The sequence below is a fragment of the Homo sapiens genome, chromosome 2 (assembly GCF_000001405.40).
Source record: "Homo sapiens chromosome 2, GRCh38.p14 Primary Assembly".
Taxonomy (NCBI): domain Eukaryota; kingdom Metazoa; phylum Chordata; class Mammalia; order Primates; family Hominidae; genus Homo; species Homo sapiens.
In genome coordinates this window covers 172,376,224-172,401,611 of record NC_000002.12, presented here as the reverse complement: position 1 = coordinate 172,401,611, position 25,388 = coordinate 172,376,224, and the positions used below count along the sequence as shown (strand labels likewise).

The window sequence follows — 25,388 nt, the reverse complement described above, 5'->3', positions numbered from 1 at the left end:
AGGCAGGCATGGTGGCATGTGCCTGTAGTCCCAGCTGAGGTACAAGAATCACTGGAACCCAGGAGGCGGAGGTTTCAGTGAGCCGAGATCATGCCGCTGCACTCCAGCCTGGGTGACAGAGCAAGACCCTGTCTCCAAAAACAAACAAGAAATGTAAGGCATTTGTAGTTTCTGCCTGCCCAGAACCCACCCTATTCTTCTGTAAGGGAGACCTCCTTTCTCTTGAGGGGCTCAGGCCCTACAGTTCAGCTGGAGCTAACCCTTACCTCTCCTCTGCCACAGGTGTGGGAATAGGACTTGGGCCTGTTCAAGGTGGCCCATTACCTCTAGTTCCAGTGATGGGTTCACACGTGAGCATATGATTTAGTCCTCTCCCAGGACTTTCCTGGTGGACTTAATGTGAAGAAGCTCTTCCTCAGTGGGAGTTGCTAAGCAGGTTGCATGTGAGCCCCAGAATGCTTGAAACCATCTTCACCAGTGGTGGGAGGTGAAGCTTGATTACATCATTTCGACTCCTGGAGCAGCTATCCATCCTGGACTTTTCTGGTATTTGAGCTAATTCCCACTTTTACTTAAGCTAATTTGAGTTGGATTCTGTCACTTGAACCCCAAAAGGTCCTGATTAATTGAAGAAAACTTTCAATCACTAAAATAATGGTTTCAAGTGACAGGCACTCTGGCCCAAAACTGACTTTCCTAAATGGCCAGACCCTACATACACTGAACACTCATAAATGGAAATATAGGAAGAGAGAGCTAGATAGCATTCACAGAATGCATTTGGTTCTGATTTGTTAAAGAATTACTGGTACAAAAAGTTTAGGCCAGCAAAAAAGCACCATAATAAGGTGTCTCCCAAAAACATTTTGCATATGTCAGAAATACTACCCAATTGATTCCTTCACTTCATAAACGTTCATTGAGCAGGTCTAGACTGGGCACTGCTAGGGAGAAACAGGGTAAGACAACATCCCTTCATAGAGAAACTCACAGTCCTGTGGGAGGCAGACATTGGAGCAGATGCACCAGCAGAGGAAGGGTGGTAATCCAGGAGAGATGAAGTGCTATAGGAGGCCACAGGCAGGCAAACAGTTTTCTTACATCAGAAGTAAAAACAATCCTTCCATTGCAGTGGGGAATAGATCCACAGAGACCTACTCACCTATCACATTTCACTTGGACATATTCATTGAGCTGATGAAGATTCCCTCAAGCTTTGAGACGTTTCTCCCCTTGAGAGTGGAAGAAAGGAAACCTACACTTGTTGAGTTCCTAACCTGCACCAGGCACTGTTAATTTATCTGTGGCAACTCAGAAGTAATGATGCATCATCGTATTATACAAATACCAAGGCCTTGATCTGCTCTGAAACCATTAAAAAAAAACACCAATTCAACAACTAAATCTAATCTGACAGTGCTGGTGATTGAAACACTGTTGACTTCATCAAAATATAAGGGGGTACCAAAAACATCAGAAAGCAAGAGAATATTTTAATGCAAAATTCCAGCATGAACAAAATATCAAAATGTTAAACAAAGACATGATCAGATCCAGCCCTGCAATTGCATGCCTTGTCCTCACTTGCCTCACCCTAATTTGGACCCTGATCCCCAGCCACATCACCCGGCTCTATGCACCTTATAAGGGTTGTCACCTGCCTTCCTGTTCATAAACAGCAAAACAATCCTTAAAATGGACGTGGCTCTCGTGCCCATGTTTGGGGACACCAGGATAACGTAAAGCCAGAAAGTTTGCCTAATCCCTGCAGATGGACAGCCACCCGCTTGGGGAAAGGAGGAAAGCTAGTGTGGGTGATGAAGCCCTGTCCTCACTGTTGAGGTAGGGAGAGGGGTTGGGTAAATGGTGAGGGGAGTGCCTGCCCTGTAAAGAGACCTTGTTCATCAGGGTTCTTAAAAACAACATCAAACCCTCTCAATCCTGATGGAATTAGCCAGATACCCTCAGGGCTTCTGAAGACACCAGTAATGAAATGCACACCACCTGTCCTATTTCCCTTCTGTGTGGTTTGAATGTTTGATTCCTCCCACTCTTGTTGAAATTTAGCTGCCATTGTGACAGTATTCAGAGATGGGACCTTTTTTTTTTTTTTTTTTTGAGATGGAGTCTCACTCTGTCGCCCAGGCTGGAGTGCAGTGGCACAATCTTGGCTCACTGCAACCTCTGCCTCCCAGGTTCAAGCAATTCTCCTGCCTCAGCCTTCTGAGTAGCTGGGACTACAGGCGCCTGCCACCACTCCTGGCTAATTTTTTGTATTTTTAGTAAAGACGGGGTTTCACCATGTTAGCCAGGATGGTCTCAATCTCCCGACCTTGTGATCCGCCCGCCTCAGCCTCCTAAAGTTTTGGGATTACAGGCGTGAGCCATCGCGCCCAGCCCAGAGGTGGGACCTTTTAGAGGTGATTAGGTCATGAGGGCTCTTCCCTCTTGAATGGGTTAAAGCTGTTATCTTGGGAGTGGGTTCCTTATAGAAGGATGGGTTCAGATTTGTATTGAATGGGGAAGCATTCCATTCATTATCTACACTAAAATAATTAAAATAGCTAACATTTATGTGCCACACACAACACCGGTTTATGTTTTCTCATTTAAAGGTATTTTTTTAAAAAATAGTGAAGTTCAAAGAAAGTTACAGGAAATATATATATATTCTGTTAATTAAGAACTAATTATTAATTCATTTATTATTTAACAAATACTTATGGATGGATAAACGAACCTACAAGCTTTATTACTTCTACATATTTAGGGCATCATGGGATTACTTCATGTTATCTTAGAAGACTTTGGAGTTTTACTTATAAGAAAGAAAATTTACTTAACCAATAATTTGATTATACTAATAAAAATTAACTCGGGCTCTGAACATGAAATTAAATGTACTCCCCCTACTGAGAACTGAAAACCATGCATCCGATTTCAGAGCCAGCTAGGAAGTACTGGCTGGATTCCACCTCTGGGAGGTGGAAGTTCTCCAGAATGGCCTGGGAGGGGCAGTTCTCTGGGTAGGTATCCCTTGCTATTTATCTAGTGCCCTTTTAGCATGTGCAGTAAGCAGCTGTTGACTTGACTGGACTCCCCCCACCCCATTCCCATGTCCTTCCCAGGTGTGCTGGGACAGGTCACCTCTGGCTGTCATTGAGCCTGGGGGAAGAAGGAGGGAGAGAGAAACAAAGCACAACAAAAATTCTCAAATGAGCTAGAAAAAATGAATTATCTATCTCACTAAGCCAAAGGGGATCTATTTAATACACCAAGGCTACAACTAGGAGGCTACAATTTCTTCCCAATTAGCCTTTTGTTTCTGCCAAGTCTCCACAAAATAAAAGAATTGACATCTGTGCAGAATCAAGTCACTTGGAAATAGTCCCCTAATATTCCAATAATTGTAATTAGTTTCCCACATCTATTATTTGAAGACTATTGACCTTAGTTAAAGAATAATTTGCCAGATTGTAAAAATGTTGTTGCTAGAATGGACCACAGATATCTAGTCATGAGAAATCTGAGGCCCAGACAAATTAACTGAACTATCCCAAATCACACAGCAAGGTAGTAGCATAATACTCTAGAAGACCATAGCTAAGCTCTGGACTCCTAGAGGACCTTTGATGGAAGCTGTCTTATGTATGTTATGTTCTTGCCTTCATCCATGCAATGAACGACAGTGTTTACATTTGTGGAAGATTTTCTACATGTTAATGAGCGTGCAGGGGTGTGTGTATGTGTTTTCTTGGCAAAGCACATGTCTGTTTAACTGTCAGCTCAGGACCCTATTGTGTTTAAGATTCTTTGATTTCAGGGAGAAGTGCCCTGAGGCTCCCAAGAGCTCTACACCCACTCCCTGGGACTCCTCACACACACCGCTGTGGAAGGTCTGCCTGGAAGCCTCCCAGGGCAAGTCCTCCCAAGGGAAGGGAAGAGGATACCACCCAAAGAGCTCCAAGTGCACATCTGTTCCCAGGCCCTGGCAGAAACCGTCGCTGGAATTTAGCAAGAAGCCTGCAGAATCATTACTATTGCTCTGGGGCTGACAGTTGTTAAGGACTCGTTAGGGAGTGTCAGTTTTCCACAGGCAACTGCATTTCTGAGAAAAGGGCCTGAACTTGGACTAAAAAAATGCTAGCAGCTATTTCTATTTCAAGAGAACAAGTTGTTGAACCTAAGTGGCAAAGGAATTCACAAACCCCTTTATCTCCCACTTCTGGCATGTTCCATCCACTCTGAACTAAGATGTGGGTCTGAACTATAAAACAAGCACTTGATGAACCTCTGCCTTCACCTCCGCCTCCGCTCCCCTCCTCCAAAACCCATGCTGAAAACAGTCAGCAGCCTTAGGAGTTCTTCACAGTCAAGGAGGAAGTTGGGAAGACAGGTTGGAAAGCTGAGGCCAGCCAATGATGGCACAGGCTCAGATGCCCATTTATCCCCTGTGTGAGAATGCCAGTAAATGAACAGAGGCTGGTGCTTTAGAAGAAAGGAAAGAGGCAACAAATACCATCCCTGCCCTTAAGGAGCATAGGATCTGAAGCAAGAGCTAACCCCTTGGAAACAAAGACCGAAATAAGACTGAGCACTACACATGATTCAGAGAGGGCATCTTTCAGCACAGAGTTTAGGGAGCAGAGAGGTCACTGAAAGCTGGAGTATTGCCCACAGCCTCCCTCTCTTCAGGCCCCCTGTAGATGCTGTGCTCTTGGAGTCTGTCCCAGCCTTCCTGTTGAGTCTGACTGCTCTCCTAGATCAGTGGTTCCTGAGAACCCACTTTAGACTCTCTCAGTCGCTGTGATGGATATCCAACTTGAATGAGCTTAATTCAGCAGGTCTCCATCTTGGCAGTGCATTCAAATCACCGGGGGAGCTTTAAAACCTACCTATGCCCAAGTCCTATCCCAGACCCAGACCAATTGAATCCAGTTCCCCAGGTGAGAGACCCTGACATCAGATCCTAATGGCAGTCAGGTTGAGAACCACTGGTTTAAGCAACAAAGGACAATTTGCAAACTCACAGAGGAAAACCACAAGAAGGTGGAGCTGTCCTTAGGGACAACTAGAACCAGGACATTGAACCAGTCAAGATCCTCTCTGTTCCTCTGTTCCCCTTTTCTTGCATATCTGTTGCATCTTCTCTCCTTGAGATGGGAATCATTACTAGTAGTGGCTCTGGCTTACCCTTTAGCAGCTAGAGGATAGAGCTTTGCTTCTCAGGTCTGTATTGACCATCCCCTACCCACCCCTCCACCTATTTTTTCTCTAAAAACAACTCTGATTGGCCTTCCAGGGGTCATGTCCCCACCCCTTGGCCCATGTTGAGAGGTTTTCATTGGTCCAGCTTGATTCACGATTGTGTTCCTACCCCTGGGGAGGGGTGCTGGGGAGACTATCATAGATCCTTGCTAGTCAAAGTGTGGTCTATGGACCAACTCTCTGGGCATCGCCTAGAAGTTTGTTAAAAAATGGAAACTCCCAGGTGCCATCACAGACCTGCTGATTGAGCATTTGCCTTCTAACAAGATCCCTAGGTGATTTGTATGCACATGAAGGCCTGAGAAGGACCACTCTAATGCTCTGGTATCGCTTTCTCAGGTTGATGAAGGTAGAGGTATTCCTTTCTCTTGGTTTCATGCTAAAGCCTCAGAAGAAGGATGCTGCCACTCCTCTACAGCTTCTGACAGCAGCAGTACCAACACCAGGTCATTCTAGCCTGGTTGGCAAGAAACCCAGTCAAGCTCCCCACACCATTCCTTCTTCTCTTTCTCAAAACCTGGCTCTGGATGAGGTCTGTGGTTTTGCTGCAGTAGCTGATAGGGAAGAGGATGTGGTTCTCTGGGCCAAATAGGGTCCAGCAGCTGGTGCTTATCAGCCATGCTCTGTGATACACACAGATGTGTCCACACCTACCTTCCTGGCCGAGGACATGTGGGAACTCAGAGCTTCCCCTGGGAATGAATGACAGAGCAAGGAAGTGACAAGGCTGATGTAGGTGTGATGGCATCCTGCCCAGCATCTTGATAGTCAGCTGGGTCGGGGGATTTGCCTCTGAAACCTGGAAGCACGTGGGAAGTACAAATATATAATCTGGGCATCTGGCCACTCAGTTTAGTGATGCTCTAGGTCCTTCCTGGAGGATACCATTTTCAAGTTCAATGTACTCCCTAGACCCCAAGCTCTATCTTCTGTGTCAACCCATTTTTCCCTTACCTTTCCCTTCCCCTGTCCATTTGCTTTCCCACTCAAACAGGAAAAGGTGAAAATTCGTGGGCACTCAATAATTATTGTTAGAAGAAATAGATGAATAAATAAACAAATGGTTTTGCATTTTTGGAAGAAGGAGAATTGAGCTTTATTTTCATCTGCTTGGATGGATAAATAGCTTTACTTCTGGGAAGTGACACAGAATTACCGCCTATAAATCATCGCCTTTGTTTAGCTCTCTCCCGCATCTCTACCCTCCACAAACAAGAAATCCTATGCGTTTGTACGAGAGAGCCTCAATTTTTATTTTTTTATTTTTTATTTTTCTTTTCTTTTTTTATTATTATTATTATACTTTAAGTTTTAGGGTACATGTGCACAATGTGCAGGTTAGTTACATATGTATACATTTGTCATGCTAGTGTGCTGCACCCATTAACTCATCATTTAGCATTAGGTATATCTCCTAAAGCTATCCCTCCCCCCTCCCCCCACCCAGAGCCTCAATTTTTAAATTCTCCCTCATGTGGGCTTCAGGAAGAGCCTGACTTTTGGTCTCAGTGGCTTCTGACCAGCATTGCCTCCAAAGAATGAAGAGAATATCCCCCCAGTTGTTTGGGTATTTTCATCCCAAGATGAAATCTACTCCTATCCTCTTGTTCCATATCAGAATTAGAACTTTAGAACGTGTCTGCTGGAGAACTGGCCTAACCACTTCATTTTATAGAGGAGGCAACTGAACCTAGAGAAAGGGAATAGATCTGTCTGAGGCCACACAACTAGTAAGAGCCAGTTGTCTGTGTAGACCACAGGTTTCCTGAGTTTGGATCCAGTTCATTCTCCTTTCATGCCACAGTGTAGCCTGTTGACCACGCTGCTATCAGAACTCGCCTCAGCAGCAGTGGCGATGCCATTTTCCTGTGGCTAGAAGGACGGCCGATTAAAGGACCTCAGTCAGCACCCTCCTCTAACGGGAGCCTGGGGGAGGGCGCACCAGGTAGGATTCCAGCAGCCAGTTCCACACCAGCCCCAGAGTAACAGACCTGTTTTTCCAAAAGTCCATTTATTTCTGTCTCCTTTACCCAGCCCAAACAGCAATGGAGAGGATTTTGCTCAAACTTTCCAAAATAACTTCCCTTTGGGCTGAGACCAAGCATGTGTAGCTTCAGGCCAAGGAATATTGAGAAGTTTATGAGCCACTAAAAATAGACAGTTACAACAGAAACTTCCTCTTACTTCTGCCATTTTCTCTGCTGGCTACACAAACACAGAGGCAGACTCCCTGATCATGGAGGGTGGAAAAAAGCATCCCATGCTCCAAGCTATGGTGTGATCACATGGGAAATATGTTTAAGGAAGAACATTGCCATTTCAAGAACGAGTCTGAACCAAATATTACAACTGGAAAGGAGAGGACCCATTGGTGCATCCTCTGGCCCTGAATTCTTTCTCTCACAGCCAAAGAAGGGCAGAGGCAGGAGCAATGGCAGCACTAGAGACAACAGGCAAACCCACCGTAGGCCTCTGCCCATTTGTAGCCTCTCATCTGTGGTTGGAATGGAAGCCAGGTTTAATCACGGTGTCAGTTCTAAAATATTCCAGAACAATTCCAACAGGGCAAATGATGTCTTTAAGATATGTTTGAGCTGGTTATGCAGTCTATCCCTTGCCTTCTCTTTGGACTACATCTTTACCTGGCTGCTTTGAAGATTCTAGTTCACTTTATTCACTTTACAGAGTCCAGAAAACAGCCAAATTAAGAATTTTCATTAGGTCCCAAAGTTCCTGGTTTCTAGCCAGCCACATACCAGTAATCCCTGAACTAGACTGCATGGAAGTAAAGGCTGTAACGTATAGGCTTGTGTTAGTCCAGTGTCCACTAAGCCTGTACGGTGCTCTACGTTGCAATGGGATGGAATAATAGAATCCCACCAAGAATGGAAATCAGCTCACATGCTTAAGAGAAAGCAGTTGCATGTTTAGTTCATTCTGCAGCAAATGACTTTCATGGCCTCAGTCTGTATAGAGATGACATAAAACATCTGAAATTATACAAAAGAATAAAGAATCACAGAGGTCCAGAGAAGAGAAGGCATATCTTTCCCATCTACCACATCCAGAAGGCTGAGTGGGGCCCTGATGTGATTCTCAGGATTCCAGTTCTCCCCCAAAGGAATAATTTAATGTTGTACCAAGTGTTTTCTGTGCATTTCTTGTCCTTAACCTCTGTTTTATATACTCAGCACTGAACAGTGACCCATCATAAGATAGCACCATTCTTCCTTTTTTTTTTTTTTTTTTTTAGACAGGGTCTCGCTCTGTCGCCCAGTGGCGTGATCTTGGCTCACTGAAATCTCCACCTCTGGGGTTCAAGTGATTCTTGTGCCTCAGCCTCCTGAGTAGCTGGGATTACAGGCACACGCTACCACACCCGGCTAATTTTTGTATTTTTAGTAGAGACAGGGTTTTGCCATGTTGTCCAGTCTGGTCTTGAACTCCTGGCCTCAAGTGTTCTGCCCGCCTTGGCCTCCCAAAGTGCTAGGATTACAGGCGTGTGCCAACGCGCCTTGCCCATTCTCCCTATTTTTAAAGGCTCCCAGAGGAGAAAACCAGAACATTTTTTTTTTCCGGCCATCTTAATGTTTTAACAGCTCTTTAGAGAAAAAAAAAAAAACATCCTTATTCCTGACCCAAATCTCTTGTGCTGGGATTTAAAACCATTTCTTCTTGTTTGGTTCGTAGTAGAGATAGGAAACACCTGGAGCCCTTCCTGTGTTTATTGTACATGGTGTCTTGGGTTTCTCATTTTATTCTTTTTTTACTTCCTTATCCATCTCTCCTGAGTCCCCTCGAAATTCTTCATCTTCCTCTCTCATTATGAAGTCCTAAAGGAGCCACAGTGCTTGGGACAGGACGCCAGTGCCCACAATATAAATATATATGTATCTTATATAGTAAACATATGTATATATATGTACGCACGTGTATATATATAGATGGTCTCTGACTTGTAATGGCTTAACTTATAATATTTCAACTTTATGATGGTGCAAAACCATTGCAATTTCAACAAAATATACAGTGTTCAATAAATTACACGGGAATTCAATACTTTATTCTAACATAGGCTTTGTGTTAGATGATTTCACCCAATTACAGGCTAATGTAAGTATCCTGAACATGTTTAAGGTAGGCTAGCCTAAACTATAATGTGCAATAGGTTAGGTGTATTAAATGCATTTTCAACTGATAAACTCATTGTAAGGTGAAAATATTGTAAGTCAAAAAAGTATTTAATACACCTAGCCTACCAAATATCATAGCTTAGCTTTTTAAATCTTTTTAAAAAGATGTTCATATGCACCAGCTCATTTAAACCTTAAAACTGCCATTCTGTGAGATGGCCAAGGAGCCATTATTACTTCCATTTTATAGCTGAGAAAACTCATGGAGTTGAAGTGAATTGCCCAGAGTCCTAATCTAAACCTAGTAAGCAGCTGGACAAGGAGCCAAACTCAAGCCATCTGATTCCCAGTGCAGGGCCTTCTTCATGACACCTCCTCATCTTTTATGTGTCAATCTTGCATTGTAGGGCTGTACACCAGGCCCCTGTCCATCTAGACCCAACCCCCACCCCCTTGTTTTTCCTCTGCACCCTGTTCACACTTACGTCAGAGCACGTCAGACATCCCATTCCACTTATCTTTTACTTCTGGAGGGCAAAGACAACAGCCTACTTATAGATTTCTCCTGCTTTACAGAGTGGCTTAGTCCTTTGTAGGTGCTCAACAGATGTTATGAATGAATGACAAAAGCATCATAGGGAGGCATAGAGATGGTGTTTATGCTATCAAATCTACTACTATGAGGCAAATAAGCTTAATTAAATAAAAGGGACAATTACACAACTGCTTTAGAGCATTAAATGAAGCTTCCACCTTGATAATTTTTATAAAATGAGCTTCCTTAGTCACAGCATATTATATAGCATTATAATATCCAAGTTATAATCATGTATTGCCATGGTTATAAAATATTAAAAATCAGGCCGGGCGAGGTGGCTCACGCCTGTAATTCTAGCACTTTGGGAGGCCGAAGTGGGTGGATTACCTGAGGTTGGGAGTTCAAGACCAGCCTGGCCAACATGGTGAAACCTCATCTCTACTAAATATACAAAAAATTAGCCGAGTGCAATGCTGTGCACCTGTAATCCCCGCTACTCTGGAGGCTGAGGCAGGAGAATCGCTTGTGCCTGGGAGGCAGAGGTTGCGGTGAGCTGAGATCACGCCACTGCACTCCAGCCTGGGCTACAGAGTGAGACTTCATCTCAAAAAACAAAAAAGCAAAAAATTAAAAATCTATATAACACCAATGTTAAATATTAAATCAACCATTTTTCACTTCAAATCTAGGAAATTATTTCTCACGTTAATGGTAGTCTTATTCTTCACAGTAAAGTGACTCCTCCTTTTTTTCCCAGAACATTTCCAAACAGGGGATGTCTAATATCACTAACTACATGGCAAGTATTTATTGCTCACATTGTTGGGTCATATTTTTATTCCTAACTTCCCACAGAAAAGCTACATAGGGTAAGCCAGCTTAACATTTATACCGCATAGCCATTCCTTTTGTCCCATAAAAAATAACAGATTAGAAAGTCCAACCTCTGTTTAGAGAGAGTGGCTTGGCTTTTAACTTCTTTATGGCTTGAGATAACTTAAAGTTTAGATATTTAAAACTAAACATTGAATCTATAGTTCACATTGAAAAACACAGTTTTAACCCAAGGACTTCCTATACCTGGGAAATTTCTGTTCCCTGTGACATCCTGTAAAATGGTCTTTTTCTCTGCTTGGGGGGAAAATTTGCATTCAGTGATGCATAATTAGCAAATTAGGAGCCAGCAATGAATCAATAACAATGTCTTCTCACAAAGTCTTAAGGACCAAGTATTTATAATATTTACATTTTCTTGCTATTTTATTTCACTGTGAAAACTGAAGAGAAATAGTAGTGTTGATGTTATTACTAAAGTACCATTATGAGATTAAAAGAAAAAAGGCAAAGGCTGAGTGTTTCTGTAATTATTTATGGCTTGTTATCTAAGATCAATTTTTTTTAGATCCTCCAAAGGAGAAGGGAAGCCGTTGTTTCCTGTACACAAAACTTGCTTTGTCACAATCAACAATTTGGAGACCATAATAAGCAGTATAGGACTTATGATTTCTCCACCAGAAAGGACGGCTCTCTAAAGACTTTGAACTGAGCTCTTTGTAAAGATCCAAAGTTCCCTTGCTGGCAGCCATCGTGGTGCTCAATGGCACACAAGGGGATGAAACTTTTGGCATTTTCAATTCTGGTGGAAGTTCAGCACTTGCTTTAGACAAATCAGGCCTCAGGCTTGCTAGGGCTCAGGAGTCTGGAAAGTTGATGAGTATATGCAGACTGCTGGAAAGCAAATGGACAGGTGAGCTGTCAGGATCCAATGTCCAGTCTTTTAGGCTAGGTCATGTGGTTGGGGTCAAAGTTCAGCAGTGCAGAAAGGACAGGAGAAACATGTGATACCCGCATTGGGTTTGAAGTTCAGAGTTTGGGAGGCACCACTCAGATCCAGAGCACTGGTTGAAGGATGTGAAACTGACAGAGTGGAGTGGGCAGGAATGTAGGCTTGACCTCAGCTTGCTTCTTCAGGCTTCTCTTCACCAAACCTGCCAGCCATATTGAACCACTTGCCACTTTTCTGAATGAGCTAAATTTTCTTTGCCTTGTTTCCGGGGCTTTCCACATGCTGCTACCTCTGCCTGAAAGATACACAATTGTTCTACACACACTCAGGAATCACCTTTTTTTTTTTTTTTTTTTTTTTTTGAGACGGAGTCTCGCTCTTGTTGCCCAGGCAGGAGTGCAATGGCGTGATCTCGGCTCACTGCAACCTCTGCCTCCCGAGTTCAAGCAATTCTCCTGCCTCAGCCTCCCGAGTAGCTGGAATTACAGGCATGTGCCACCACGCCTGGCTAATTTTGTATTTTTAGTAGAGACGGGGTTTCTCCATGTTGGTCAGGTTGGTCTTGAACTCCTGACCTCAGGTGATCCTCCTGCCTTGGCCTCCCAAAGTGCTGGGATTACAGGTATGAGCCACTGCGCCCAGCCAGGAATCACTTTTTATGGAAAGCCTTTGCTAATCCATGCCACACCCCCAAGACTAAATTAGGCGCCCCTCCCCTAGAATCCCCATGGTCTCCATAGACATACTGCCACAGTACCATTTAATATAAAACCTTCATAGCATTTCAACCACTTTTCTTATTAATGGAGCACTTTCTTCAAAAGAAATCTTACTCAGAACCCAACGCAAAAGAGCAGGTGCTTTGACAAAGTGGAGGAGGGTGACCAAGGCCCTGCCTACTTGGCCACATTGTTTACCCAAGGAAGTTACCCCTGAGAAACTTTAAGAAAAGGCTAAAGGGGCTCAGAAAATGCTTTTAAAATCCCAGGCCTAATATATATGCTTGCTTATATTAAAATACATAAAATATAGGCATGCTTTATTCAAAGCTGTCCCATGAAGTACTTATTTATATTGAAGTACTTATTTATATCAACACTTTTAGCTGATATAGTTTTGAATTTGTATGGCATGGACACTGAGTAATCAGAAATCCACCAACTATTAATAAGCGTGGCTGTCCAGTGCATACCAGAAGAACATACGCAAACTTTTATTCACTACAAATCCACTATTAGTGTGTATTTTATCCAGGCTGCAAGCCACTGGCACATCAGCTACATTACTCCAAGTTGGACAACCATGTTTTTAATCCAATGTGGCCTTTCTTCCTGCCCATTATTTTACATTATGATGAATACCCATTATAGTCGATAAAGTGTGAAGGATGGAGTCAAACCTTCCCGAAGAAGCAATGGAAGTGACATACATAGAATCTGGAATGCAAATGTTAGGGTGCCTTCTATCATCTCCAAAGACGTGGCTAAGAAAAGAGTAAGTCTCATGATGAGCAGGTAACTAGGGATTGGTAGGCATCATGGATATCCTGGTAACCTAGGAGGGTTAATCCACAGGTGAGCGGATGGGAGTTGGAAAGAATGAAAGCATGTTTGCTAGGGCACCAAAACTGGGACATAGCTCCAAAATGTCTCTGCTAGAGTGACTCTGTACCCTCACCACTTCAATTAGAGTCCCCATGTCCAGAAGACATCTACTGTATGTCCACCCCAACTCAGATACCTTGGGTATATGCATGTACACATAACCCTGGGAGAATGTCAATTCATTTCTTAAGTTTACTTGGGAGAAGAACCCGGGGTATGCACCATAGAAGTGAAAATAAAATGTTTTACTGTAAACTTTTCATATGATGTTAATTTTATATGCTCATATATAAAATCACCAGCTTTTTTGCCTGCCTCACCTATTAAACTGTAAGTTTCTTGAGGATAGAAACAATGTCCGATCCATCTCAGTATCTCTGACCCAAATACAACACCTGGTATGTAGTAGGTAATAAATGGATGGATGGATGGATGAATGAAGGGATAGATGGAAGGGTAGATGGATAAACGGATAGATCTCAGCAGACAAGCAGTTTTAGCACCAAAGAGATTATAATAGCAGGTTCCTGGGCCTAAACAAAGAGCCCTGGGAAAGAAGAAATCCATAGAATCTAACTGCAGAGCGACTGGGAGGCAACAGCAGAAGAGCATAGTGGCAAGACCGAACCCTACATAAGAAGATCTCTCCCTGCCTAGAGCTAGAGCTGGACACAGTCCAGGGCCTAGGGTCCTCCCAGAGACTTGGAAGAAAATGCAACTCCATTGTGCACAGTAAGATTTCCAGGAAAGTCAATAGAGGGACATACGAAGCCTGATGCTTCGTGCTTGTAAGATACTTATCTGTCTCTGACTTGAGTGGCTTTCTCAGGCCAGAGAAAGAAAATGAACATTATGAAAGGGCTTTAATTGGCCTGGACAGTGCTGATAGTAACATAAGTTACCATGGTAGCTAATGCACACACTTCCTTCTCAATAAATAATACCTCCTTATCTGCTTTCTAAAGAAAGAATTAATGAAAGAAGAAGAAAAGAAAGCAAAGCTACACCTCCTGCAAAAGATGCCCATTTCTTTCTGCTGTTACTTTTGGGGATTCTAGCTGTTGGTTGAGAAGCTGCCATGTGATTATTTGGATCTCAAAGAGCAAACAACCCTTACTTAATAACACATGCCGTAAAAGCTGTGCAAGGGAATATCTTAGTCTCTGACTGCTGTGAGGTGGAGGGCATTTTGAGGCACCGGAGGGAGTTGGGAGACTTATTCAGAGTCCATTCATGACAACGTTTGTAGTAATTATGGAAGAAGAAATGGAAGCACGAAAGGCTATTTGAAATGGTTCTCTCTTTAAAATTGAAAGGATGATCTTACAATATTTTAGGATGACATTATGTGTAGATGCTTTTACAACTTCTTTGGTAGAAACGATCTGGAATCGGAGCCCAACTAGAGATTAAAGGGCTTGGGGTGAGAGGGGATATGAACTTACTTCTTTGTTTCATTGGTTCAGCTCCAGCCTTTCTCCTTCACAGAAATCAGATGCAGGAAAAATCCCTCTGAGATCATCTTATAGATGCCCCGCAGGGTCAGCGCCAGTCTATTTTTTGTGTAAATCTGAGGGAAGTGCTTTATTCAGGCAATTTTGAAAAGATTTAAGTAATGCAGCTCCCACCACTTTCTCTGGCAAATTTTAGTATTCACAGCCTTGAGCAAAGGTTTGGTTTTATTATTATTTTTTACAAAATGGCAGGCAGATAATGGCTGGCCGTTGCTTTCAGGCCAACAACCTGCAGAATCTTCTGTTGGTAGAAATGCCACATGAGTAATAGGGGCCTTTGTAAGAGCAGGCTTCCAGGACGCCTCGGCATCAGGGGTGCGTCCAGGGTTTTGTGGAATAGTAGCAAATTTCATTTTCTCCCTTTTCACACTTTTCTTTGTATACTGGAGGGAACCATCAAGTGCTGCAAGCCCACACTCTTCTTCTAGGGAAAAGACCCCCCCACCCCCCTGCTAAGGGACAGGTCTAGGAAGGCAATGTACAGACTGGTGAGTGTCTTTATTTAATTTTTTTTGAGACGGAGTCTCACTCTGTCACCCAGGCTGGAGGGCAGTGGCGTGATCTCGGCTCACTACAACCTCCGCCTTCCAAGTTCAAGCAATTCTCCTGCCTCAGCCTCCCTAGTAGCTGGGATTACAGGCATGTGCCACCACGCCTGGCTAATTTTTGTATTTTTAGTAGAGACGGGGTTTCACCATATTGGCCAGGCTGGTCTCAAACTCCTGACCTTGTGATCTGCCCACCTCTGCCTCCCAAAGTGCTGGGATTATAGGCATGAGGCACTGTGCCCAGCCCTGGTGAGTGTCTTTGCATGAAATCCAGAAGATTGTTGGTGTTTAAACCAGGCCCGTCGTTGTGGAGTTTGAACATATAAGAGCACTGATTCATTGGCAACGAGCAGCGAGAGTCCACAGATGAACCAAAGCCATGAGTAAGCAGAAGCCATGGCTCTCCCTGAGTGAAGGGCCAGCTGAACACGCCGACACAGAGCAAAGGCACAGGGGATGAAACACAATGCAAGGCACTGGGCGGATGCTGGGAAAAGCCAAGAAAAGACGAAAAGAGCTCAGTCACCATAATGGTGGGGATACAAAATTGTCACTGTGAGGGAGCAACAAAGTAAGCCCTGGAGAAGACTTAGATCATTCCAACTCCTGAACTCTACTCTCTCTTCTGTGGGTAGCTGGTGTCCTCCATCCTGGGCTCTTGTGGGATCCCCATTTTCTGCCGTGTCTGTTTTTACAACATCTACTGTTACTCGAGGCAACCTGAGAGAATCTCCAGGCCCTCAGAGTGTGATGAACCAGCCCTTTACCCCAGAGCCCACACTATAAACTCAGTCATCACACGAATGGACTTGGCCCAAATGAAGAATCACCAAGAGTATAAAAGAAATGTCTAGGGGGCAATGTGTAAGGCATGAAGTACAGTTTTGAAGGCCAAGTTCCAAACGTCATTCACGAGCCTTTTGGTTATCGGCCCTATTCAGGAAATAGAATAACATGGCAGATGTTTAATATGCAGCAAAGCCATGAAGAGGGTCCCTCCCACATGGGCACATCTCGGCCTTCAGAGACTTTCGCCCTTGCCACTCAGCCAGCTGCATGACTGAGTCGAAGCCAGCTAGGGAGGCAGGTGGGGTGGGGGCGGGGTTGTGGGCTTTCACTGTCCTTGTCACCTCTCCCCCTTCAGGCTGCCAGATGGGAACCCACAGACCTAGTATGCCAGCGGGACAGTCCCCAGGGTGAACGGGGACCCTGGAGTTGTACAACACAATAGCCCTGCTTGGTGGCCCTTCGGGAGGCCCAGTGGCAAGAATGCCTGTGCCCTCAGCAGCTGCAGACCCCGAGCCTTCCCCTTTCCCAACCCCTCTGTACCATTCTTGTGTACCATTCTTGTGTGTGTACCATTCTTGCTGTGCTTCCAAGAGAAAGCCCAACTTGTTCATTTTCAAACACCAAATCATCCTGCTCAGCCCCCGATTCCCCACTCCCACGACTCCCCCCTTTGCTGTGACACGAGAGGGACCTAAATCAATAGCATGAGCAGACAGCGACTCTCAGCCACTAACAAACATGTCGACCTAAAGGGAAGGAGCTGAGGCAAAATTAATATAAGCAGTTTATTTGAGCCAAACTTAAGGGTTGCAACTTGGGAGCATAGATTCAATTGCCCTCAATATACACACGATTACAAGTGGATTTTTAAAGGCAAAAGCGGGGACTGGGAGTGGGCTGATACAAAGCTATTGTCAGGAATTCTCATGGTTTATAGAAGTGACATTGATTACTGATTGGCTATAGATTGTTAAGCTATAGGGTGTGGGTTTAGTGTCTGGTGTGGTACTATTAGGTGAATTTATAGTTACTTGTGGCAATAATAAGCAGTTTCAGGAGATAAATACATAGCTCAGAGTGGGTAGTGGAACGTAATTGCTGTCTCATTTCAACATCTTTCTGAACCTGATAATTTAAAAGGACTCACATTCCTCAGATAAAAGTTCTTTTATGGCCGGGCATGGTGGCTCACGCCTGTAATCCCAGTACTTTGGGAGGCCGAGGCGGGCGGATCACGAGGTCAGGAGATCAAGACCGTCCTGGCGAACACGGTGAAACCCCGTCTCTACTAAAAATACAAAAAATTAGGCGGGCGAGGTGGCGGGCGCCTGTAGTCCCAGCTACTCGGGAGGCTGAGGCAGGAGAATGGCGTGAACCCGGAAGGCGGAGCTTGCAGTGAGCGGAGATCGCGCCGCTGCACTCCAGCCTGGGCGACAGAGCGAGACTCCGTCTCAAAAAAAAAAAAAAAAAAAAGCTCTTTTATTTTCTCAAATGGTAACTCTTCTTCCTTCTGAGTAAAGAGATGTGACTAATGTGAGGCGGGGCTTCCGAGGGAGGGACCAGGGGCAGCTATTTGGTCCTCCTTTGCTCCTTCTTCCTCTGCTCCTCCCTGGTTTGCTCTTTGATCAAAAGAAGCAGCCGGTACTAAGGAAGGAAAGCCAGTACAGAGCAAGTCACATCTATCATTCAAGTTTCCTTACAATAACTCACCACCAAAAGAAACCGTAAAGTGGGAGAAATAGGATGACTTCGAAAGCAAAAATGCAACTTACTAGCGTATTTGATTATATGCAGTCACAAACTAAGAAAAGGTCATTGGTTTGTTAGTTTTTTTTTTTAAGTTCCAAATATTGTACTTGTAAAGTACACTCTTTTTGTAGGAAGTGGCTGGCCCAATGCCATTACTGGGTATATACTCAAAGGAATATACAAAGTTCTATTATAAAGACACAGGCACATGTATGTTCATTGCGGCACTATTCACAATAGCAAAGAGATGGAATCAACCTAAATGCCCGTCAGTGGTAGACTGGATAAAGAAAATATAGTACATATATGCCATGGAATACTGTGTAGCCATAAAAAAGAACGAGATCATGTCCTTTGCAGGGACATGGATGGAGCTGGAGGCCATCATCCTTAGCAAACTAACGCAGGAACAGAAAACCAAATACCACATGTCCTCACTTATAAGTGGGAGCTACATGATGAGAACACATGGACACATAGAGGGGAACAATACACACTGGGGCCTACTAGAAGGTAGAGGGTGGGAAAAGGGAGAGATCAGAAAAATAACTATTGAGTACTAGGCTTAGTATCTGGGTGACAAAATGATCTGTACAACAAACTCCTATGACATGAATTTACCTATATGACAAACCTGCACATGTACCGTTGAACCTAAAATAAAAGTTTTAAAAAAAAACCCAAAGAACAGTTATATAAGTTTTCTGAAATTTGTGGCCAAAAAAGTAGTTGTAGTATTACAGGAAAGGGGTCCTGATCCCAACTCCAAGAGAGCGTTCTTGGATCTCATGCAAGAAAGAATTCAGGGTGAGTCTGTAAAGTGAAAGCAAGTTTATTAAGAAAGTAAAGAAATAAAAGAATGACTACTCCACAGACAGAGCAGCCCCAAGGGCTGCTGGTTGCCTGTTTTTTTCTCTTTTTTTGAGACGGAGTCTCGCTGGGTTGTGCAGGCTGAGTGCAGTGGTGCCAACTCGGCTCACTGTAACCTCCACCTCCCAGGTTGAAGCGATTCTCCTGCCTCAGCCTCCCCAGTAGCTGGGACTACAGGTGTGTCCCACCATGCCTGGCTAATTTATGTATTCTTGGTACAGATGGGGTTTCACCATGTTAGTCAGGTTGGTCTTGAACTACTGATCTCAGGCAATCCACCCGCTTTGGCTTCCCAAAGTGCTGGAATTACAGGCGTGAGCCTGGTTGCCTATTTTTGTTTTGTTTTGAGACGGAGTCTCACTCTGTCGCCCAGGCTGGAGTGCAGTGGTGCAATCTCAGCTCACTGCAACCTCCGCCTCCTGGGTTCAAGCAATTCTCCTGCCTCAGCCTCCCCAGTAGCTGGGACTACAGGCCACCTGCCACCACACCTGGCTAATTTTTGTATTTTTAGTAGAGATGGGGTTTCACCATGCTGGCCAGGATTGTCTCGATCTGTTGACCTCATGATCAACGCCCCCCTTCTCGACCTCCCAAACTGCTGGGATTATAGGTGTGAGCCACCGCTCCAGGCCGCCTATTTTTATGGTTATTTCTTGATGCTATGCTAAACAAGGGGTGGATTATTCACGCCTCCCCTTTTTAGGCCATATAGGGTAACCTCTTGATGTTGCCATGGCATTTGTAAACTGTCATGGTGATGGTGGGAGTGTAGCAGTGAGGACCACCAGAGGTCACTCTCGTGGCCATCTTGGTTTTGGTGGGTTTTAGCCAGCTTTTTTACTGCAACCTGTTTTATCAGCAAGGTCTTTATGACCTGTATCTTGTGCTGCCTCCTGTCTTATCCTGTGACTTAGAATGTCTTAACTGTCTGGGAATTCAGCCCAGTAGGTCTCAGCCTCATTTTGCCCAGCTCCTATTCAAGATGGAGCTGCTCTGGTTCACATGCCTTTGACAGTAGCAAAAAGCAGTCCCCTCTCATTTCAATCCCATTGTTGTTCTTTTTTTCTGAGTTTTTAATTCCTTAAATCTCTATGCATAGCTTTTGTTCCCTAAATGTGGTTATGAGTTCAAGATGGCCCACTGCTCAGACCTTCCTTAAGTGTGGAGGCTTTCTGTTGGCTGTGGACTACCCCAGAGTTATCCCTGACAGGCAAACACTCATAGGCCACTGTGTCAGCCAGCTATGGGTGCCTGTCTAGAAGGCCACTCACAGGCAAGATGCAGATGGATGAAGGCACACAGACCTGCTTCCTCAAAAGATGCATTTTTTCAGTTTGTTTTTGATTAACACATCCTTCTGCCCACCCCTGACACCAGGGTAGGTTCATCAAAATCTATGGAAATGTCCGTAGGTTGCAGGAAGGTCCCCTGATTCTGAAACACAGGGCTGGAGAGAAGGCACAGTATTCCAACGGAATAATTCACAGAACCACTGGCAGAGAGTAAAGGAATTCTTGGCTTTATCTGGGTTCCCCTCCCCCCACTTCATTCAACATTTTAAAATACTTTCACCTGCTTCAGTGAAGGCACAGCTAGGGAACTTGTTGACTACCACGTGCTGTTATTTTAGTTAATATCCTTCTCCCCAGAGCTGAGCTTGTTTGCAGGAGGGCTTTGCAATGCGTGGCTTTCTTTCCATCCTGATAAGCTTCATTTCCAAGCTGGTGGCTCTCCGAAATTCTTTTGCAAAACAGAGCCTCAGATCTCTCCCTCCTTCCTGGTTCTATGGAGATTCTATATGAGAATTTAGAACAAGGCTCAGCATTCACCAGAATCGCCTGGGCTTCTTTTCTCTCCTGCGATTGCTATGTTAATGAATCTGTTGGATGTCGCTGTGACCTACAAGCTCCTACCCAGCGGGAGAGCCCTGCATCTAAACTGCTGATATGTCACACTAAGAAAGGAAAAGAGGCCCTGCCTGGCCAGGCAGAGGGGCAAGGGGGTTTGGGAAGCCTTCCAAGACTCAGATCATTGTGTAGAGATGTAAAACATCACAACTCTCCTTGTTATTACTGGTGATAAATGGCTGGGCAGGCAGATCTGCACCACAAGAATTGCTGAAATTGAGGAAACCTTGTGGAATGAACAAGCAATTGAGGAGGAAGTGAGAGGCCGATGGCAGTGTGACCTTAGTGGCAGAAAAGCCATATGTCATGTTGCTGTAACAATTTATGGCAAATATTTCTCTGTCTGGGGTTTGCCTTTAAATAGAAATCACAAATGATGCAAGCTCAGGGTCATCACCTCCAAGTGCAAAGTCCTGCCAGTGGAGAAAGCTGCATGGAAGGGTTTCACAGGTTTGGGGAACTTTTGGCATGAAAGAGCCCAGCTCTTTGAGTTTGAGTTTCATCTACTCTTTTTTTAAGGATGAGTGGATATGTGAAAGTTGCAGTTGGAAATGAGCAGCTTCTCATAGACTTTTAACAAACTCAGGGCTTGTTAAAACAAGGATGAGGGGGCTCATCCCTGTGTCTGAATTCTCAGCAGCTCAGATCCCTGGCTTGTTTCTTGGGGATCCCATCCATGAGGACTGACATGGTTTGGCTGTGTCCCCATTTAAATCTCATCTTGTAGTTCCCATAATCCCCACATGTGGTGGGAGGGACCTGGTGGGAGGTAATTGAATCATGGTGACAGTTTCCCCCATGCTATTCTCATGATAATGAGTAAGTTCTCACGAGATCTGATGGTTTTATTTATTTTTTTTTGAGACGGAGGCTCACTCTGTTGCCCAGGCTGGAGTGCAGTGGCGTGATCTCGGCTCACTGCAAGCTCCACCTCCTGCATTCATGGCATTCTCCTGCCTCAGCCTCCCGAGTAGCTGGGAATACAAGCACCCGCCACCACGCCCAGCTAATTTTCTGTATTTTTTTTTAGTAGAGATGGGGTTTCACTGTGTTAGCCAGGGTTGTCTCGATCTCCTGACCTCGTGATCCACCCGCCTTGGCCTCCCAAAGTGCTGGGATTACAGGCATGAGCCACCGCGCCTGGCCGGTCTGATGGTTTTATAAGGGGCTTCCCCCTTCACTTGGCTCACATTCTTCTCTCTCCTGCCGCCTTGTGAAGAAGGACATGTTTGCTTCCTCTTCAACCATGATTGTAAGTTTCCTGAGGCCTCCCCAGCTGTGTGGAACTTCGAGTCAATTAAAACTCTTTCCTTTATAAATTACCCAGTCTCAGGTTATGTCCTTACAGCAGCATAAGAATGGACTAATACAAGGACCTTCACGAGTATCTCAGGCCTAGCAATGCCCACTAGTCTGGACAAAGGCATGCATGGCTGTGGAGACCCTCTGGCACCATGTCAGCCACACACATTTCTTAGTTTCATCTCTGTTACTTCACAGACAATGCTGGAAAAGTACAATAGATGACTGGGTTGAGTTACCTCTCTACAACACAGGGAAGAAAATGCTCAAGGCCATAGGAAACTGGGCAGACATTCCAGAAATAGGATGTCCAGGGATTCAAAGACAATGCCATCATGGGGACTGGCCATAGGGAGCGCTTGATCCAGGAATGGGCAGAAAGTAGTGCCATTCGGCTCCCCAGCTGGTGAAAGGAACAGCCATCCTTTGGCTTCCACCTGGGGAACCACCTGGAGACCCCTGGTGTTGGGTAACCACCTTCAAACTGCAGTTCTGTCTGCCCCTCCCCTGCATCACTCAGGAACTTGCCTCTCCATCCTCTGGACCTCATGGTAAATGCATACCCTTGCATTTCCTCTGGGACAATTGTCTCTTATATAGTTTGAGCCCAGGGAAGGCCTTGGCTTGGTCATCACAGCTTACATACCATATTCTTCTTCCCCCACTCCTCATACCCCCAGTCAAATAAGGTGATTTTGATGGTTACCAGGTAGCTCGTGAGGCCAAGATATTCCATGCACCAGGGCTTGAGGTGAGTCAATAGGGAAACACAGAATCTACTGTATTGTTAAGCAAACACTCTCTTTATGGGTATTTGGCCCAAACAAGCTCTGTTATGTAGAGCACACTGATAGAATTGAAAATGTAAAATGTTAAAAACTTAGCATCAAGAAACAGTGGCTCAAAATAAACATGGAGATGAAAGATCACAGACATAGGTCATCATTAGAAAGGACAATACAGTGTTCTTAAAGCAGAGATCCAGAAAAATATCTGTTAAAATGCAAAACATAATCAGAAACAAACTCTAATATCAGGACTTATACAAATACATACACAAGCTGGGAGCGGTGGCTCATGCCTGTAATCCCAGCACTTTGGGAGGACGAGGTAGGCAGATCATGAGGTCAGGAGTTCGAGACCAGCCTGGCCAACATAGTGAAACCCCATCTCTACTAAAAATACAAAAATTAGTTGGGCATGGTGGTACATGCCTGTAGTCCCAGCTACTCAGGAGACTGAGGCAGGAGAATCACTTGAACCCAGGAGGCAGAGGTTGTGGTGAGCCAAGATCACGCCACTGCACTCCAGCCTAGGCAACAGAGCGAGACTTAGTCTAAAAATATATATATATATGTGTGTGCGTGTGTGTATATATACACACACGCACACACACACACACACAAGTGTAGGTCTGTCATGTGTATGTGCATTTGTACATGTGTGGGAGAGGGAGAAGGAGAGAGAGACCAAGAGCTTGAGCAAGCAGTGGAGGTGGGGAAAGATCTCTTGGTCACCATCTGTCCTCCATTTCCTAATTCTGAGAAGCAAAGAAATGGCCAAGATTAAAATTTTAGGTTACAGGGGACCTCTGGGATATTAGAGGCGAGGCATCAGAGCAGCTAATGGAAATTCTTGCTACTTTCACATGACACCATGTGATTTGCCTTTATGTGGGGCCCTGGTTACTGAGCCCCCTCTCTTCTTCCCTATCACTCCCTCCCTTCCTCTAGCCTTCTGATCACTGCTCATAGCAGTGCAGATCTCTCTGCAGACATAGTACTATCTTAGGGAATTATCCGCAAGGAATCCTGTGTACCTAGTTTGTTTTATTGGCTAGCAAGTAGATGCATTATTTCCTAGTCAACAGGCAGGGCAGAACAGTGTAGGGCCAGGATGCAAGGCTACATTAGCAAAGGCAGCTGTTTGGACCACAGTCTTCTCAGGCAAAGTAGCAGAGAGGAGTGACTGATGTCAGCTTCCACCAACACTGAGAATTCTACATTGAGCTGGAACCAGGATCTCGGGACAGTGGCTCTAGATAGTATCTGAGGCAGCAGGATGTCATGCTTGCGAGCACCTTCCTGGAATTCTGCTCTACTGCCCAAGTGGAAACCTAGTCATTTCAGGAACCAAGCACTTTCTTCTTATAGGAAAATATAGTCTTCTCAAAGCAATGTTTGCCTGTCCTCCATACTGCATTTTAGCTATCTATCAGGTGTAGAAAATTCTTCAGGGTGCCCGAGTTTGAATGCCTCACCTTTGCCACTCAAGGTGTGGCTGCTTTTGGGACCTCCAACATTCTTCCAGCAAGTTCATAGGATAATATGGAGACCAAAAACATAAAAAGGAAAATCCTGGGGCTCAAAGAAGAGGGAATTCATCTTTTCATGCTCTCTTTTTATGAGTGCTATTATTAAGAATATGCTAAGGCTGATACATATCTTTCAGGCATTTGGCCAAGATGCCAAGACATTTTAAGTTTGACTAGAAGGAGACTTACGCTTTCCAAATTGCTACCTTGACAAATGTTTCTATTTTATCCCCTGGATAGATTTAATTCATTTACTTATTGCACTGAAAGATTCAAGCTTAAAGATATTTAATTATGTCTAACCTTTCTCCCATTAAGTAGATTAAAAGTCTAAAGCATTGGCTGCCCCCACCCCCACCAACACCGTATGGCTGGTCTGTTAAATATGCATGTTCAATCGGAGCTTGCAAAAAGAAAGATATTACATCAGCCTTAAAACAGTATGTATTCAATATTTGATTCTATTTTAAGCTTACACTTGGCCTAATTGTACTAAGCAAGGAAATAATATTACAGTGACGCCACTGAATTAATAAATATATTTCTGTTAGTGAGAAAGGCCAAAAGAGTCATCCAATGTAAATTTATCCTTGGCTACTGAGTGATTACTGTTTCAAGGACTTGGGAAATTGGCAAGACTTCTGGTTCTGTGCCGGAAGTGCTCTTAACTGTGGTCTTAAAATAGGGAAAAAACACTACACCTAAGAAAGTAGGTACAGGTTTCTTATTTGGGTGAGGCCCCTCACAATAAGGAATTCCTTAAAGGGAGATTGGGGAGAAATCTAAGTACTGTATGTCTAGTAATGTCATTATTTACTGCAAAAGGGAGACAGATAAATATCTTGGTAAGAAACTCTAATTGTGAATGATGCACATACTACAATATTTCAATGCATGACAGCGTTTTCCTTGATATGTTGTGCTGAGACATACGGTAAAGGTGACACCACCTGTATTTTAAAAATTGAAGAAATCTATCCTGGGGCAGTGTGTGTGTGTGTGTACGTCTGTGTGTGTCCGTGCACATTTACACGCATGTGTGCACATGCAGTGGTATGCTGGTAAA

The 25,388-nt window shown here is 44.3% G+C and overlaps 4 annotated features.

Annotated features, from left to right (window-relative positions):
- Positions 19,762 to 19,931: an enhancer, noted in NCBI's record as "experimental_55951 CRE fragment used in MPRA reporter constructs". NCBI's record gives its function as "activates a minimal promoter by MPRAs in K562 erythroleukemia cells, with activity observed for the introgressed 2:173246494 variant allele {active_cell/tissue: K562}" and the evidence as "EXISTENCE:reporter gene assay evidence [ECO:0000049][PMID:34662402]".
- Positions 20,052 to 20,563: an enhancer, noted in NCBI's record as "OCT4-NANOG-H3K27ac hESC enhancer chr2:173245777-173246288 (GRCh37/hg19 assembly coordinates)". NCBI's record gives its function as "activates a minimal SCP1, AML or CMV promoter by ChIP-STARR-seq in primed H9 embryonic stem cells {active_cell/tissue: H9 hESC(primed)}" and the evidence as "EXISTENCE:reporter gene assay evidence [ECO:0000049][PMID:30033119]".
- Positions 20,564 to 21,073: an enhancer, noted in NCBI's record as "OCT4-NANOG-H3K27ac hESC enhancer chr2:173245267-173245776 (GRCh37/hg19 assembly coordinates)". NCBI's record gives its function as "activates a minimal SCP1, AML or CMV promoter by ChIP-STARR-seq in primed H9 embryonic stem cells {active_cell/tissue: H9 hESC(primed)}" and the evidence as "EXISTENCE:reporter gene assay evidence [ECO:0000049][PMID:30033119]".
- Positions 24,737 to 25,031: a silencer, noted in NCBI's record as "tiled region #14975; HepG2 Repressive non-DNase unmatched - State 23:Low". NCBI's record gives its function as "represses a minimal TATA promoter and a strong SV40 promoter by Sharpr-MPRA in HepG2 cells {active_cell/tissue: HepG2}" and the evidence as "EXISTENCE:reporter gene assay evidence [ECO:0000049][PMID:27701403]".